We start from the raw sequence: 14,433 nt of genomic DNA, 5'->3' as shown, positions 1-14,433 counted from the left end.
AAGGATGAGGCTGCAGTAAGCCATGATCATGCCACTGCACTCCAGATTGGGCAAGAGAGCAAGATCCCATCTCAAAACAAACAAACAAAAAACAAAACAAATAAGCAAAAGATTTACTTAAAAGTATGCTAGGCTGGGCATGGTGGCTCAGCCTGTAATCCCAGCATTTTGGAAGGCTGAGACAGGTGGATCACTTAAGGTCAAGAGTTTGAGACCAGCCTGGCCAACATGATGAAACCCTGTCTCTACTCAAAATACAAAAATTAGCAGGGCGTGGTGGCACGCGCCTGTAATCTCAGCTACATGGGAGGCTAAAGCAGGAAAATAGCTGGAACCCAGGGGGCGGAGGTTGCAGTGAGCCAAGATCATGCCACTGCACTCCACCTGGGCAACAGAGTAAGACTCTGTCTCAAACAGAAACAAAAACAAAACAACAAAAGTATGCTATTGCTTGTTTCAACTTCTTTAGGTCCTATACTATCCTTCCTCACTGAAATAACTGTTTTCAATAATGCAATTTTTGATACTGTAAGACAGGTCCTTAGGAATAAGATTGCTTTTCAAATTGTACTTGTTTACATAACTGAAGTGTTTATATCCATCATTAACTTTAGCAATTGACAACGTTAAATGTAAAATTAACAGCAATCAATAAAGGAAATTTAATTTGATTAGTCCTGAATGGACCGCATTCCATTTTTTGATTTATGATACTTTTCATCTCCATCCAGAAACATCTAGCTTTTAGTGAGATTACTGTGCTAGCAATCTTGGTTTGGGTACCATGGGAAGAGATAAAATAAACTATCTTTATAAAGTCACATTTTGAAAACAGGCGTATTATTTAAACATATAAATGCTTGAAGCAAAGGCTTTATTAATAATTTCATTATTTCCATAACAGTTCAGATTGTAAGATACAGATATGCAATGTTATAATTATATTCTATGTGCTTAGATTTTTTAAACTGCCATTCCACCAAAGCAATAGATTGATTGTTTCTAAGTAACAAAAGAAGTACAGAATTAACTGAAGGGCAGTATCTGAGACTGGATATCAGATATAAAATTGAACTAGATTATTTCTCAACTTAAAATATACAGTGGATCTACGAACTTTCCTCAGATCACAAATTTGAGAAGAAAGGCAAAACAAGAGGATCATGAATGGAGAAAATAAGGTATGGAATGAGCACAAAACTATAAATGTGCTTTAAGGTCTGCATATGTGTTTTTCTAAAACACGGAGTTTAAGAATCTATAAAATATTCATGGCCAGGCGTGGTGGCTCACACCTATAATCCCAGCACTTTGGGAGGCCAAGGAAGGAGGATCCCTTCAGCCCAGGAGTTCAAGACCAGCCTGGGCAACATGGCGAAACCCTGTCTCTACAAAAAAATTTAAAAATTAGCCAGATGTGGTGGCATGCACCTGTAGTCCCAGCTACTTGGGAGGCTGAGGCAAGAGGATCAATTGAGCCCAAAAGGTGAATGCTGCAGTAAGCCATGATCACACCACTGCACTCCAGCCTGGGTGACAGAGCAAGACCCTTGTCTTTAAAAAAATATGGGTGTGTGTGTGTGTGTGTGTGTGTGTGTGTGTGTGTGTTTCAAATATATATATATATATATATATAAACCTCCAAACAAACATCACCAAATCACCAATCATGACAAAAAACTTAAAATATTTATATGAAGTAGGTAAGATGCAAAATTAACCTAGAAGATTAAATTTCAAAGAAATACTCACTAGTTTATCTAATAAAGTACCTTTTCTTTAATAGAGATGGGTCTTGCTATGTTGTCCAGGCTTGTCTTGAGTTCCTGGCCTCAAGTGATCCTCCTGTCTCAGCCTCCCAAAGTGCTGGGATTATAGGTGTGAGTCACCATGCCCAGCCTAAAGAATTTTTAATGCATTCTTTGAGAGACTATTTTCCTACTATCTCTCTTACATAGCATCTTGAACAGGCCAACATATGTGGAGTAGGAGAGGGGGAAAACTTTCTGTTAGACATAGGTGTATAATTTGATAAAACACAGAATCTTAGAATTGCTTTTGAGGATTCTGGAGATTCAAAGGCTAGAAAGGTCACATGACAAAGCAAAAATGACACTGCCCATGGAGAGGAAAGTTGTTGAGATCAGATTGAGTATTAGTTACAGTGTCCACCAGTGTTCTAAAACCCAGAGGCCATTCAGAAAAGTTTAATTTTCTACCAAGCCACAGTATCTATTAATAGACTCTAGTTTAAACTGAAAAAATATAAATAAAAAGAATAATTTGTTAGCTAACTGTAATTAAAATCCATATCAGAGATATGCAGCAAGCAATGTAGTCATACAAACTTCTACCTAGAGACTGTGTGCACATTAGTAAAATAATCCGGGCAGTGGGGAGGAATAAGAAGCAAAGGAATAGTGAAGGCAACAAGAAATAGAGAAATTTTTTTGTCTTCCAATGAAGATCTTTAAAGTAGTTCAGGAAACCTAGCTTTCACTCTCAGGTTAGGTACTTTTCTTTTTTGGAGGGACAGGAGTCTGTCTCACTTTGTTGCCCTGGCTGGAGTAAAGTGGCCCATTCATAGCTCCCTGCAGCTTCTAATTCCTGGGCTCAAGCAATCCTCTTCCTTCAGCCTTCCATGTAGCTAGATAGGCATGAGCCACCATGCCCAGCTAGGTACTATTTAAATAGGCTAATACAGCTGTAAGAAAGTATAGCATAGGCTAGCCTTTAAACGTAAAGACTGGTAAATATTAATTACTGAAACTGGACAGCAGGTATATGGGAGTCCACTACTGCACTTTTGCGCACATTAAACATTTCCAAGTTGAAAAGTTGAAATAGTATACCAGTAATTCCATCAGTCTGGCTTGGTACCCTCCAAGGAAGAAATAAAAAATAGAAAAGACTTTGACTATAAGCAGTATGGGTTTCTATACATAAGTTTTAAATAAAATTTATAAATCTTAAATAAAGGCAATATGTGCTCAATCTAATTCCAAAGAAACAAATATTTTAAAAATAAGTAGCATTTTACATTTGAACATAAACATATATTTCAATATGCATGTTAAGTGATAAAGCTGGCTGGGTGTGATGGCTCACACCTGTAATCCCACCACTTTAGGAGGCCGAGACAGGTGGATCACTTGAGGTCAGGAGTTCGAGACCAGCCTGGCCAACATGGTAAAACCCTGTTTCTACTAAAAATACAAAAATTAGCTGGGCTTGGTGGCAGGCACCTGTAATCCCAGCTACTCGGGAGGCTGAGGCAGGAGAATTGTTTGAACCTGGGAAGCAGTGGTTGCAGTGAGCTGAGATTATACTCCAGCCCAGGCAAGAAGAGTGAAACTCCGTCTCAAAAAATAAAAAGTAAAATAAAATAAAATAAAGTGATAAGGCTATTCATGTTAACTCAAGTACTAATTTACGATGAGTAGCTTTCTTCAAACCATCTGAGAAATTCACATAAAGGCTACAACATAAACTTTCTTGAAAGGTGAAGTTATATTTTTAAACACTACATAACTAGACACGCAGACAACAAATCCATCTAAATTGCTTCTGCTTTAAAAAACTGATTGAGTTCTAAAACTTTTTACAAAATCCAAAGATTATATATCAACAAAATGATGCTTACCTTAGACATTCATTAAGAACCTTGGGCTCATCTGGCTGCACATTTTGAAAAGAATCATTTTTCTCAGGCTGTAATATGACATCTTCCTCTTCAAAATCTTTACGCGATTGATCTTCCATGTGTTGAGGAGTCTTAAAAACAAACAAATTTTTCTAATGTTTTAGGTTTCACAATGAGGCATAACAGATTTCATTGAAAATGTCCAATTTAAGTATAAAATGGTAAAAAATTCAACATTATAAAATGGAGACTTTAAAATACTTTTAATGTTTTTTCTTTAGCTATCTTAGAAAATTTCATGAGTTACTCCTTTTAGGATATCTCAAAGCCCCATTCTTTTCCTCCCAATCAAAAAACAAGTAACTGCCTTGGTTTCATCTGTTAGAAATACCCCTGTGGGGTCTATCTTTCTGAATTCTTTTGATTACTATAAATGCATTATAGATCACGGGAATTTTTTTTTCTTTTTTTTTTTTTTTGAGACGGAGTCTTGCTCGGTCGCCCAGGCTGGAGTGCAGTGGTATGATCTCGGCTCACTGCAAGCTCTGCCTCCCAGGTTCATGCCATTCTCCTGCCTCAGCCTCCCGAGTAGCTAGGACTACAGGCGTCCACCACCACACCCAGCTAACGTTTTTGTATTTTTAGTAGAGAAGGGGTTTCACCGTGTTAGCCAGGATGGTCTCAATCTCCTGACCTCGTGATCCGCCCACCTCGGCCTCCCAGAGTGCTAGGATTACAGGCATGAGCCACTGCGCCTGGTCAGAATTTTTTTTTTTTAAGACAGGGTCTCACTCTGTCACCCACGCTAGAGTGCAACGGCATAATTATAGATAGCTCACTGGAGGCTTGAACTCCTGGGCTCAATTGATCCTCCTGCCTCAGCCTCCCAAGTAGCTGGGACTATAGGAGCACACCACCAAGCCCAGCTAATTAAAAAAATTTTTGTTTGTAGAGACAGAGTGTCACTATGTTGCCCAGACTGGTCTCAGACACCTGGCCTCAAGCAATCCTCTCACCTCGGCCTCCCAAAATGCTGGGATTTCAGGCATGAGTCACCATGCCTGGCCTAGAGACCATGGGAATTATAAGAAATTGAAATCTCAAAACATGACAACTTTTATCTTTATCACAAAGGCTATGTAAATAATCTAAAATTCACAGTCTTTGTTCTTGGAATTGTATCTTACTAGGGAGCTTTTAACACTTTATGCTGTTTAAGCCAATGTTAAAACTCACATATGTACTTATTTCTTCAAAACAAAAGATTAATTCAAACATCCACTAAGTGATACGGAAAAGCAACTCCAAATATGAGGTCAGGTGAAACAGATTATCTATCATGTAAATGCCCAAAATCTAAAATGGCTTTACAACTAGCAAAGCTGCTGGCTATGAGATTTTGACCAAAAATGTAATAAATGATGCACACAAATTGTGCAGTACTGTTTTGAAAAGGGGGTAAAGGGGTTGGGCACAGTGGCTCATGCCTGTAATCCTAGCACTTTGGGAGGCCAAGGCGGGTGGATCACCTGAGGTCAGGAGTTTGAGACCAGCCTGGCCAATATGGCAAAACACTGTCTCTACTAAAAATACAAAAATTAGCCAGGCGTGGTGGTGTGAGCCTGCAGTCGCACAACTAAAAATACAAAAACATTATAGATCATGTGAATTTTTTTTTTTTTTTTTTGAGACAGAGTCTTGCTCTGTCGCCTAGGCTGGAGTGCGGTGGCACGATCTCAGGTGGCTGAGGCAGGAGAATCACTTGAACCTGGGTGGCAGAGGTTGCAGTGAGGCAAGATCGCGACACTGCATTCCAGCCTGGGCGACAGAGCAAGACTCCGTCATAAATAAATAAATAAATGTATGTATGTATGTATGTAAGTATGTGGGTGAAGGGAAGCTTATATTAAGGCTCATGTACTTGCTTACCAAAAATGTGAGGAGGAATCAGAGTACTTACATCTCTATCAGCACAGGATTCATTTTCATTCTTCTCTACATTGGCCCCAATTTCTTCCTGTGATATGAGAATTTCTTTTCTTTCAGCAGCTTTACCTGCATTTGGCTTTGGCTTTTGCAATCGGCCCCTCACTTGTACAGGTCTTAAAGCCTTTAGTTGACTCCCTTCCTGCAGACAATTTTTTTCACCCAAACTAGAACCACAAAGAAATAAAATTAATGTTTATTTTGAAGTCACCAATTTCCTTCTCCCTGGCATGAATAAGTAAACCATTTGGAATATGAAATAATTCACAAGTTTCCTGAAAAGACATAATCCGCCCGGGCGCAGTGGCTCGCACCTGTAATCCCAGCACTTTGGGAGGCCGAGGCGGGCGAATCATTTGAGGTCAGAAGTTCGAGACCAGCCTGGCCGACATGGTTAAACCTGTCTCTACTAAAAATACAAAAATTAGCCAGGTGTGGTGGTGGGCGCCTGCAATATCAGCTACTTGGGAGGCTGAGGCAGAAGAATCGCTTGAAACCGGGAGGCAGAGGTTGCAGTGAGCAGAGACTGCACCACTACGTGACAGAGCGAGATTCCATCTCAAAAAAAAAAAAAAAGAGAGAGAAAAAAAAAGACATAATCCTGGAAGCCCTCTTGAAAAAGCACTTTTAAATAGAATTTTATTACAAAATTGGAAAAATCTACATCTGCCAAGCATAGAATACTACTCCTGACTAAGGATACTATAGAATAATGTAGAACTCCAGGGGATTAGTCCCAAATCATAGTATAAATGGTAACCCCTGGAAGAGCCCAGAATCCACCAGTCAGATTCACATTCTATTTTAGATTTCTATTTCAAGTTAAATATTCCCTTTTAAAATCTCTTAGTATAAATAAAATTATCCAGGGGCATATACTGTAAACATTCAAATGTAATGGCTAACTCAATAGACTCATAAAATTTATATAAGCAATATCAAGCAGAGAGAGTATTATGAATGTTTCAAAACCACCTATGGTTGAAAACGAACTTAAAGTATGCTGCTTGAAAATTAAATTCAGACCTTATTAAGTAGAAAACAAATTATTACCATCATTCCTAAGAGTTACTTTTTTTTTTTTTTTTTTTTACTACTTCCTGAATACTCACACAGATACAGTTTCAGCTTCTGGATTCTCTCTCTCTGTAGTCTCCATTCTCAAAATGTCCAATGTATTCATTTTATCTTTTTCCACGTGGTTCTGTGAATTTAATTTGCTACAATTTATCTACTTACAATAAACAGTTCAAACTTTGTAATAAACAAATGGAAATTAAAACAACAGAACTGGCCGGGCACGGTGGCTCAAGCCTGTAATCCTAGCACTTTGGGAGGCCAAGGCAGGCGGATTGCCTGAGCTCAGGAGTTCAAGACCAGCCTGGGGAACATGGTGAAACTGTCTCTACTAAAATACAAAAAATTAGCCAGGCATGGCAGCGTGTGCCTGTAGTCCCAGTTACTTGGGAGGCTAAGGCAGGAGAATTCTTTGAACGCAAAAGGTAGAGGTTGCAGTGAGCCGAGGTCACACCACTATACTCCAGCCTGGGTGACAGAGTGAGACTCCATCTCAATAAATGAATAAATAAGAACTTCATTTTTTGTACTTCTAACTAGAGGAGATTTTCTAAAAATCCTAAATGCAGATGAGAATTTTTTTTTTTTTTTTGAGACAGGGTCATGCTCTGTCGCCCAGGCTAGAGTACAGTGACATGATCATAGCTCACTGCAGCCTTGACCCCCAAGGCTCAGGTGATCCTCCCACCTCAGCCTCCTGAGTAGCTGGGACTACAGGTGCACACTATGCCCAGCTAATTTTTTCATTTTTTGTAGAGACCAGATCTTGCCATGTTGCCCAGGCTTGTTTCAAATTCCTGGGCTCAGGTGATTAGCCCGCCTCAGCCTCCCAAAGGGCTGGGCTTACAGGTGTGAGCCACCACACCTGATGTACATTTTTTTTTTTTAAGAAAAATGGAATCACACTAAATATTTCAGAAAAATATTTCTGAAATGTTAATTACCAAAGGATACAAAACTGTATTGAAACCATGATTCAGTTGTGTAAAAGAAAATCTGTAAGGAGATATGTGAAAAGATTGGTTGCAAGGGAATAATGAAATTACAAGTATTAGAAGGAATGGCTGGGCATGGTGGCTCACGCCTGTAATCCCAGCACTTTCGGAGGCTGAGGCAGGTGGACCACCTGAGGTCAGAAGTTCGAGAGCAGCCTGGCTAACATGGTGAAACCCCGTTTCTATTAAATATACAAAAAATTAGCCGGGCATGGTGGCGCATGCCTGTAATCCCAGCCACTCAGGAGGCTGAGGGCAGGGGAATCGCCTGAACCCAGGAGGCGGAGGTTGCTGTGAGCCGAAATCACACCATGCACTCCAGCTGGGGCAACAAGAGTGAAACTAAACCTCAAAAAAAAAAAAAAAAAAAAAAAAAAGAAACAAGATTACAACACTTCAAAGAAAAAAAGGTAAAGAAAAAAATTACAAGTAATTTTTGTTTTAACTTTTACATGAATCTGTATTTTCCAAATTTTCTACAATTCAATAAACATAAGATTAGAATAATGTAACTGTACTATAAAGATTATGATAAAAGATATTTCACAAAACAGGAAAAGAAGCAAACCAACATCTTAAAAAGTGTTTTAGTTTAAAAAAAATGGTAACAATAGAATTCTGGAAAAGTTATAAGGAAACAGAAAGATTCATTTAGCAATGTAAATAGATTATTTATGACTGTCAGTTTCACAATGCATAACAATTCAGGAGACTCAGACATACCAGAAAATTTTTTAAAGTAATAAAAATAACAAATAACAAAAGACAATGCATAACAAGAATCACAAAAATATTTAAAACATTATTTGACCCAACGATCCCACCCGTCTCTAGAAATTTATACTTTGTTTCCTTGAGAAAGCCTTACTTACAAAATTGTTTGCTTCTAATGTACAAGAGTTAAAAAAACAAACAAAAATAGAAACAATCTGAACATCCATTAGTAGAGAACTGATTAGGTAAATCAATAACATGTTAACATGACACAGCTATTAAAAAGATCAATTGGACCCAAAAAAATGTAAATTAATAGTTTCAGAGGAAAAGGGTTTTTTTTTAATTTTTTATTTTTTTGAGACAGAGTTTCGCTCTGTTGCCCAGGCTGGAGTGCAGTGGTGCAATCTTGGCTCAATGCAACCTCTTCCCTTCCGGGTACAAGTGGTTCTTTTGCCTCAAACTCCCGAGTAGTTGGGATTACAAGCATGTGTCACAATGCCCAGCTAATTTTTTTGTATTTTTAGTAGAGATGGGATTTCGCCATGTTGGCCAGGCTGGTTTCAAACTCCTGGCCTAAAGTAAGCCACCAGCCTTGGCCTCACAAAGTGCTGGGATTACAGGTGTGTGCCACCGTGGTCAGCTGAAAAAGGTTTTGGCAGGGCACGGTGGCTCAATATGGTGAAACCTAGTCTCTACTAAAAATACAAAAATTGGCTGGGCATAGAGGCGCGCGCCTGTAATCTCAGCTACTTGGAAGGCTGAGGCAGGAGAATCTCTTGAACCCAGGAGGCAGAGGTTGCGGTGAGCCGAGATCACGCCATCGCACCACAGCCTGGGCGACAGGGCGAGACTCCGTCTCAAAAACAAAACAAAGAAAAGAAAAAGGTTTTAAACATTATACACATTATGGTTAAAAATTATAGAAATGTGTGCATACATAGATAAAGTTATTGGCCAGGCATGGTGCCCTCATGCCTGTAATCCCAGCATTCTGAGAGGCCAACGCACACGGATCACTTGAGGTCAGGAATTCAAGACAAGCTTGGCCAACATGACAAAACCTCGTCTCAACTGAAAATACAAAAATTAGCTGGGCGTGGTGGTGCATGCCTGCAATCCCAGCTACTTAGGAGGCTGAGGCACAAGAATAGCTTGAACCTGGGAGACAGAGGCTGCAGTGAGCCAGGATCATGCCATTGCACTCCAGCCTGGGCGACTGGGCGAGATCCTATGTCAAAAAAAAAAAAAAAAGACGGCAGGCGTGGTGGCTCACGCCTGTAATCCCAGCACTTTGGGAGGCTGAGGCAGGTGGATCACATGAGGTCAGGAGTTCGAGACCAGCCTGGCCAACAAGGTGAAACCCTGTCTCTACTAAAAATACAAAAATTAGCCAGGCATGGTGGCAGATGCCTGTAATCCCAGCTACTTGGGAGACTGAGGCAGAAGAATTGCTTGAACCTGGGAGGCAGAGGCTGCAGTGAGCCAAGATCGTGCCACTGCACTCCAGCCTGGGCAACAGAGCAAGACTCCATCTCAAAAAAAAAAAGAAATAAAGAAAGAAAAAGAATAAAGAAATTTATTGACCAGGTGAGCTGGCTCATGCCTATAACCCCAGCACACTGGGAAGCTGAGGCAGGAGAATCACTTGAGGCCAGGAGTTAGAAACCAGCCTGGTGAACACAGTGAAACTCCATTCCAAATTTTTGCTAACTTAAAACAGAAAATCAGGCCGGGTGCGGTGGCTCACGCCTGTAATCCCAGCACTTTGGGAGGCCAAAGCAGGCAGATCACGAGGTCAGGAGACAGAGACCATCCTGGCTAACGCGGTGAAACCCCATCTCTACTAAAAATACAAAAAATTAGCCGGGCATGGTGGTGGGCACCTGCAGTCCCAGCTACTCAGGAGGCTGAGGCAGGAGAATGGCGTGAACCTGGGAGGCAGAGCTTGTAGTGAGCCAAGATCACGCCACTGCACTCCAGCCTGGGAGACAGTGAGACTCCGTCTCAAAAAAAAAAAAAAATTATCTGGGTTTGGTGGCACACACCTGTAGTCCCAGCTACTGGGGAGGGTGATGTGGGAGAATCACTTGAGCTCAGGATTTCGAGGCTGCAGAGAGCCATAATACTGCCATTGCACTCCTGGACTCTGTTGCCTGGGCAATAGAGCAAGACCCTGTCTCAGAAAAAACAAACAGAAAGTTTGTAAAAGACAAACAGAAATGAGACTGCCTGTGTGTAGATGAGAATGTTGTGGGCAGAATTTAATATATAGCTGGTTTATGAAATATTTTAAATAAAAATTTTATAGAAGTAAACAGAAGACAGATTTATCACCACTGAGGATATCTGAAATGATTACATCCCAGGTTAAAGAAAATGTGTAAACAGGAGACTAATAAGATACGAACAAATCTAATGTTAATGTAAGTTCTTGTATCTGTTTTAATATCAGTAACAGTACTTTGTAATTTCAAGTCAACAACTTTTATTCCCAACTATCTAAAGAAAATTTTTATAATTTTAATTTCCATGAAATCTCTTACCCCATACCTTTTCAACTGAAGTTTTTGAATGTGAATTCTTGCTCTCTGACTCTGTTTTGCCTTGTGAAAGAACTGATTTCTTCCCAGCCCTTGACAAATTGGGTTTAGGTCTTTGGAAGCGACCTCTCAACATTGGTTTAACATTTTCTGTTTGATCAATTTCCCTGAAAAATTAACATTATTTAAATAGCATCAAACATGCAGTCATGTCCAAATGAACTTCTAAAATAACCTACTGAGAATTAGGAAGAACTCCTTTAAGAGCTTACTTAGAACAAGAGTAGCAAAGAAAACTTAAAGAGACTAACTTGTTCTATCTGATATTAAAAATACACCATTCATCATCAGTAATTAAAACAGTGTGGTACTAACATATGAATAAACAGATAAATGAAACAAATTTAAAATCCAGAAAATAACTTCAAAATAGACATGATTTTGGTATATATTGAAGGTAGCAACTCATAATAGGGAGGATAAGATGAAATGCAATACAATACAGTGAGGATAAAACGTAAGAAATATTAAGTAAGATTAAATGATGATGGGAAGGCCGGGCGCAGTGGCTCACGCCTATAATCCCAGCACTTTGGGAGGCTGAGGCAGGTGGATCACCTGAGGTCAGGAGTTCGAGACCAGCCTGGCAAACATGGTGAAACCCCGTTTCTACTAAAAATACAATAATTAGCCATGCATGGCGGCACGTGCCTGTAGTCCCAGCTACTTGGGAGGCTGAGGCAGGTGAATCCCTTGAACCCGGGAGGCGGGGGTTGCAGTGAGCCAAGATGGTGCCACTGCACTCCAGCCTGGGTGACAAGAGCAAGACTCCGTCTCTGGATGTGGTGGCGAGCACCTATAGTCCCAGCTACCTGGGAGACTAAGGTGGGAGGATCACCTAAGCCTGGGAGGTTGAGGTTGCAATGAGCTATGATCACACCACTGCACTCCTGCCTGGGCAACAGAGTGCAACCCTGTCTCAAAAAAAAAAAAAAAAATTCATAAATGTTTAAATGTGTATGTGTGTGTGAGGGAGAGCTCAATCATACCTTTTTATACTTTTCGATGTTTGAACCCTATGAATGTATTGTCTATTTCAAAGACTGACATTTTTAAGTTTGATTTCCATTGTGACAGTACTTTACTGAAAAATAAGAATTTATGAACTGAATAGCTTTCTTTTTTTTTTTTTTTTGAAATGGAGTCTCGCTCTGTCGCCCAGGCTGGAGTGCAGTGGCATGATCTCAGCTCACTGCAGGTTCTACCTCCCAGGTTCACGCCATTCTCCTGCCTCAGCCTCCCAAGTAGCTGGGACTACAGGTGCATGCCACCACACCCGGCTAATTTTTTGTATTTTTAGCAGAGACAGCGTTTCACTGTGTTAGCCAGGATGGTCTCAATCTCCTGACCTCCTGATCCGCCCGCCTCGGCCTCCCAAAGTGCTGGGATTACAGGTGTGAGCCACTGCGCCCAGCCCATAAACTATTAATAGCTTTTAAGCCCATATGAGATGAGGAATTACAAGGAAGACTAAAAGGAAGTATAAAACTTTCAGATACCTCTTCAAAGGGAGATTTTTATGATGTTTTTAATCGTTTCTTGGGAAGATACTAATTTAACCAGTATCTGCATACTGGAAGATATACTTCCTTGAAATCACCAATATCAAAATATTATTTTGACACCAGGCATAAAAAATAACTCAAACCAAGTAAAAGTAAAATCTCATGGCAAATATTTAGGCTTCCAAATTGTTTTAGAATTTCGTAAGTTACCACCTTCCTAAAATTCATATCATTATTATATAACAGATATGAAAGAGAATCTTTCTGCAAAGAAATATAAAGTAAAACACCTGATGTTACACTCTGAACAGACTACAGTATAATTACATATTAAATGATTCCCTCTACTATTAATAAAGTATGTATTAATAATCCCCTCGAATCCCTAAATGAAGCAACATTATTATCATTTAAGAACCTTATCAAAATTTTATAAATAAATCCTATCGTATAAAATACTTACAGTGAATTATTTTTTAGGTCAACATTTCTTTCTTCTATACAACTACCCTCAGCATTATTCACCTCACACAATGCTCTAATTCCAACTTCGAATGAAGGCAAATCTGAAGTGCTTGATTCTGAAGACTCAGTTGCTACTGATGTGGCATCTTGTTGATTACTAAAAAAAAGAAAATATTTCAGAGAGAAAAGAATTCCTAATGATATATATTTTATAATTATTTTTAAAAATGTTAAACACACAAAATCACCATTTTGCAAGATGCTGCTTCACATTATAGAGTAATACAAACTGCTACATTAGCTTTTCTATGATCCATCTTGCATCATGTTATAAAAACTGTACCTCCAGAGAAAGCAGCAGCCACAAATTTACACGCTTAGGAACATGCTCAAGAAGTTTCAAAATGAAGGCCGGACAAGGTGGCTCACGCCTGTAATCCCAGCACTTTGGGAAGCCAGGGCGGGCAGATCACTTGAGGCCAGGAGTTTGGAACATCCTGGCCAACATGGTTAAATCCCATCTCTACTAAAAATACAAAAACTAGCTGGGCATGGTGGTGCAGGCCTATAATCCCACCTACTCAGGAGGCTGAGGCAAAAGAATCACTTGAACCCGGGAGGTGGAATCACACCACTGCACTCCAGACTGGGTGACAGAGCAAAGCTCTGTTTCAAAAAAAGAAAAGGCTTCAAAATGAGAAATTATTAAATGTGGTTCACAAATCAAACATGCGTAAAATAATACTAATATTTAGGAATTAGCTTTCATTAAAATTTATATAGGCAATCCTTGCTATGCAGGGTACTGTGTAACCAAAAGTCAAATAAAGCAAAGATACAGCTCCAATAAGCTCAAGTTGAGTTAACATAGTCCTACGCAAAGTGAGAACTACTATATTAAAAAATATTTCAAATATCAGCCAGGTGTGGTAGCACGTGCCTGTAGTCCTAGCTACTCAGAAGGCTGAGGTGAGAGGATTGCTTAAGCCCAGGAAGTCAAGGCTGCAGTGAGCTGAGATTGCACCACTGCATTCCAGCCTGGGCGACAGAGCAAGACTCTGTCACAAAATAAATTTCAACTAACAATAATATAACTGATAGCCACGCACTGACCATTTCAACACATATTCACATTTAGCCATACCTTTTTCTTTTTTTCTTGTTCATTTTTTCTACTAGGTGTTTATGTTTTCCTGACTTATCAGCAAGAGTTCTCTATATATTTTTATTGTCTAGATATTACACATAAAATCTCCCGATCAGTAACTTGCCTTTTATTTTCTTTATGGAGGATTTGTTAACAGAAGTATTTAATTTTACTACCATCAAACTTATCAATCTTATCTTTTAAAGTCTGTGTTTTCTACGTCTTAATAGAAATGTCTTACCTGAGGCCTTCACATTACAAAGATATTTTTCTACATTTCTTCTAAAAGTTGTAAAGA

The 14,433-nt window shown here is 39.5% G+C and overlaps 1 protein-coding gene across 9 annotated transcripts in view; it reads right to left on the bottom strand.

Annotated features, from left to right (window-relative positions):
- BDP1 (BDP1 general transcription factor IIIB subunit) overlaps positions 1 to 14,433 on the bottom strand; it is a 122,638-nt gene that overhangs the window by 69,894 nt on the left and 38,311 nt on the right. For all 9 annotated transcript variants that reach the window (XM_017009630.2, XM_047417372.1, XM_017009631.2 and 6 more), the window contains exons 12-16: positions 12,987 to 13,145; positions 10,969 to 11,125; positions 6,742 to 6,833; positions 5,604 to 5,796; positions 3,644 to 3,774 (exon numbers count right to left, since the gene is read on the bottom strand). In XM_017009630.2, the coding sequence (XP_016865119.1) occupies positions 3,644 to 3,774; positions 5,604 to 5,796; positions 6,742 to 6,833; positions 10,969 to 11,125; positions 12,987 to 13,145 (732 nt within the window). The remainder of the gene's footprint in view (positions 1 to 3,643; positions 3,775 to 5,603; positions 5,797 to 6,741; positions 6,834 to 10,968; positions 11,126 to 12,986; positions 13,146 to 14,433) is intronic.

Source organism: Homo sapiens, chromosome 5, assembly GCF_000001405.40.
Source record: "Homo sapiens chromosome 5, GRCh38.p14 Primary Assembly".
NCBI lineage: Eukaryota > Metazoa > Chordata > Mammalia > Primates > Hominidae > Homo > Homo sapiens.
This window is presented reverse-complemented; position numbering and strand designations above follow the sequence as displayed.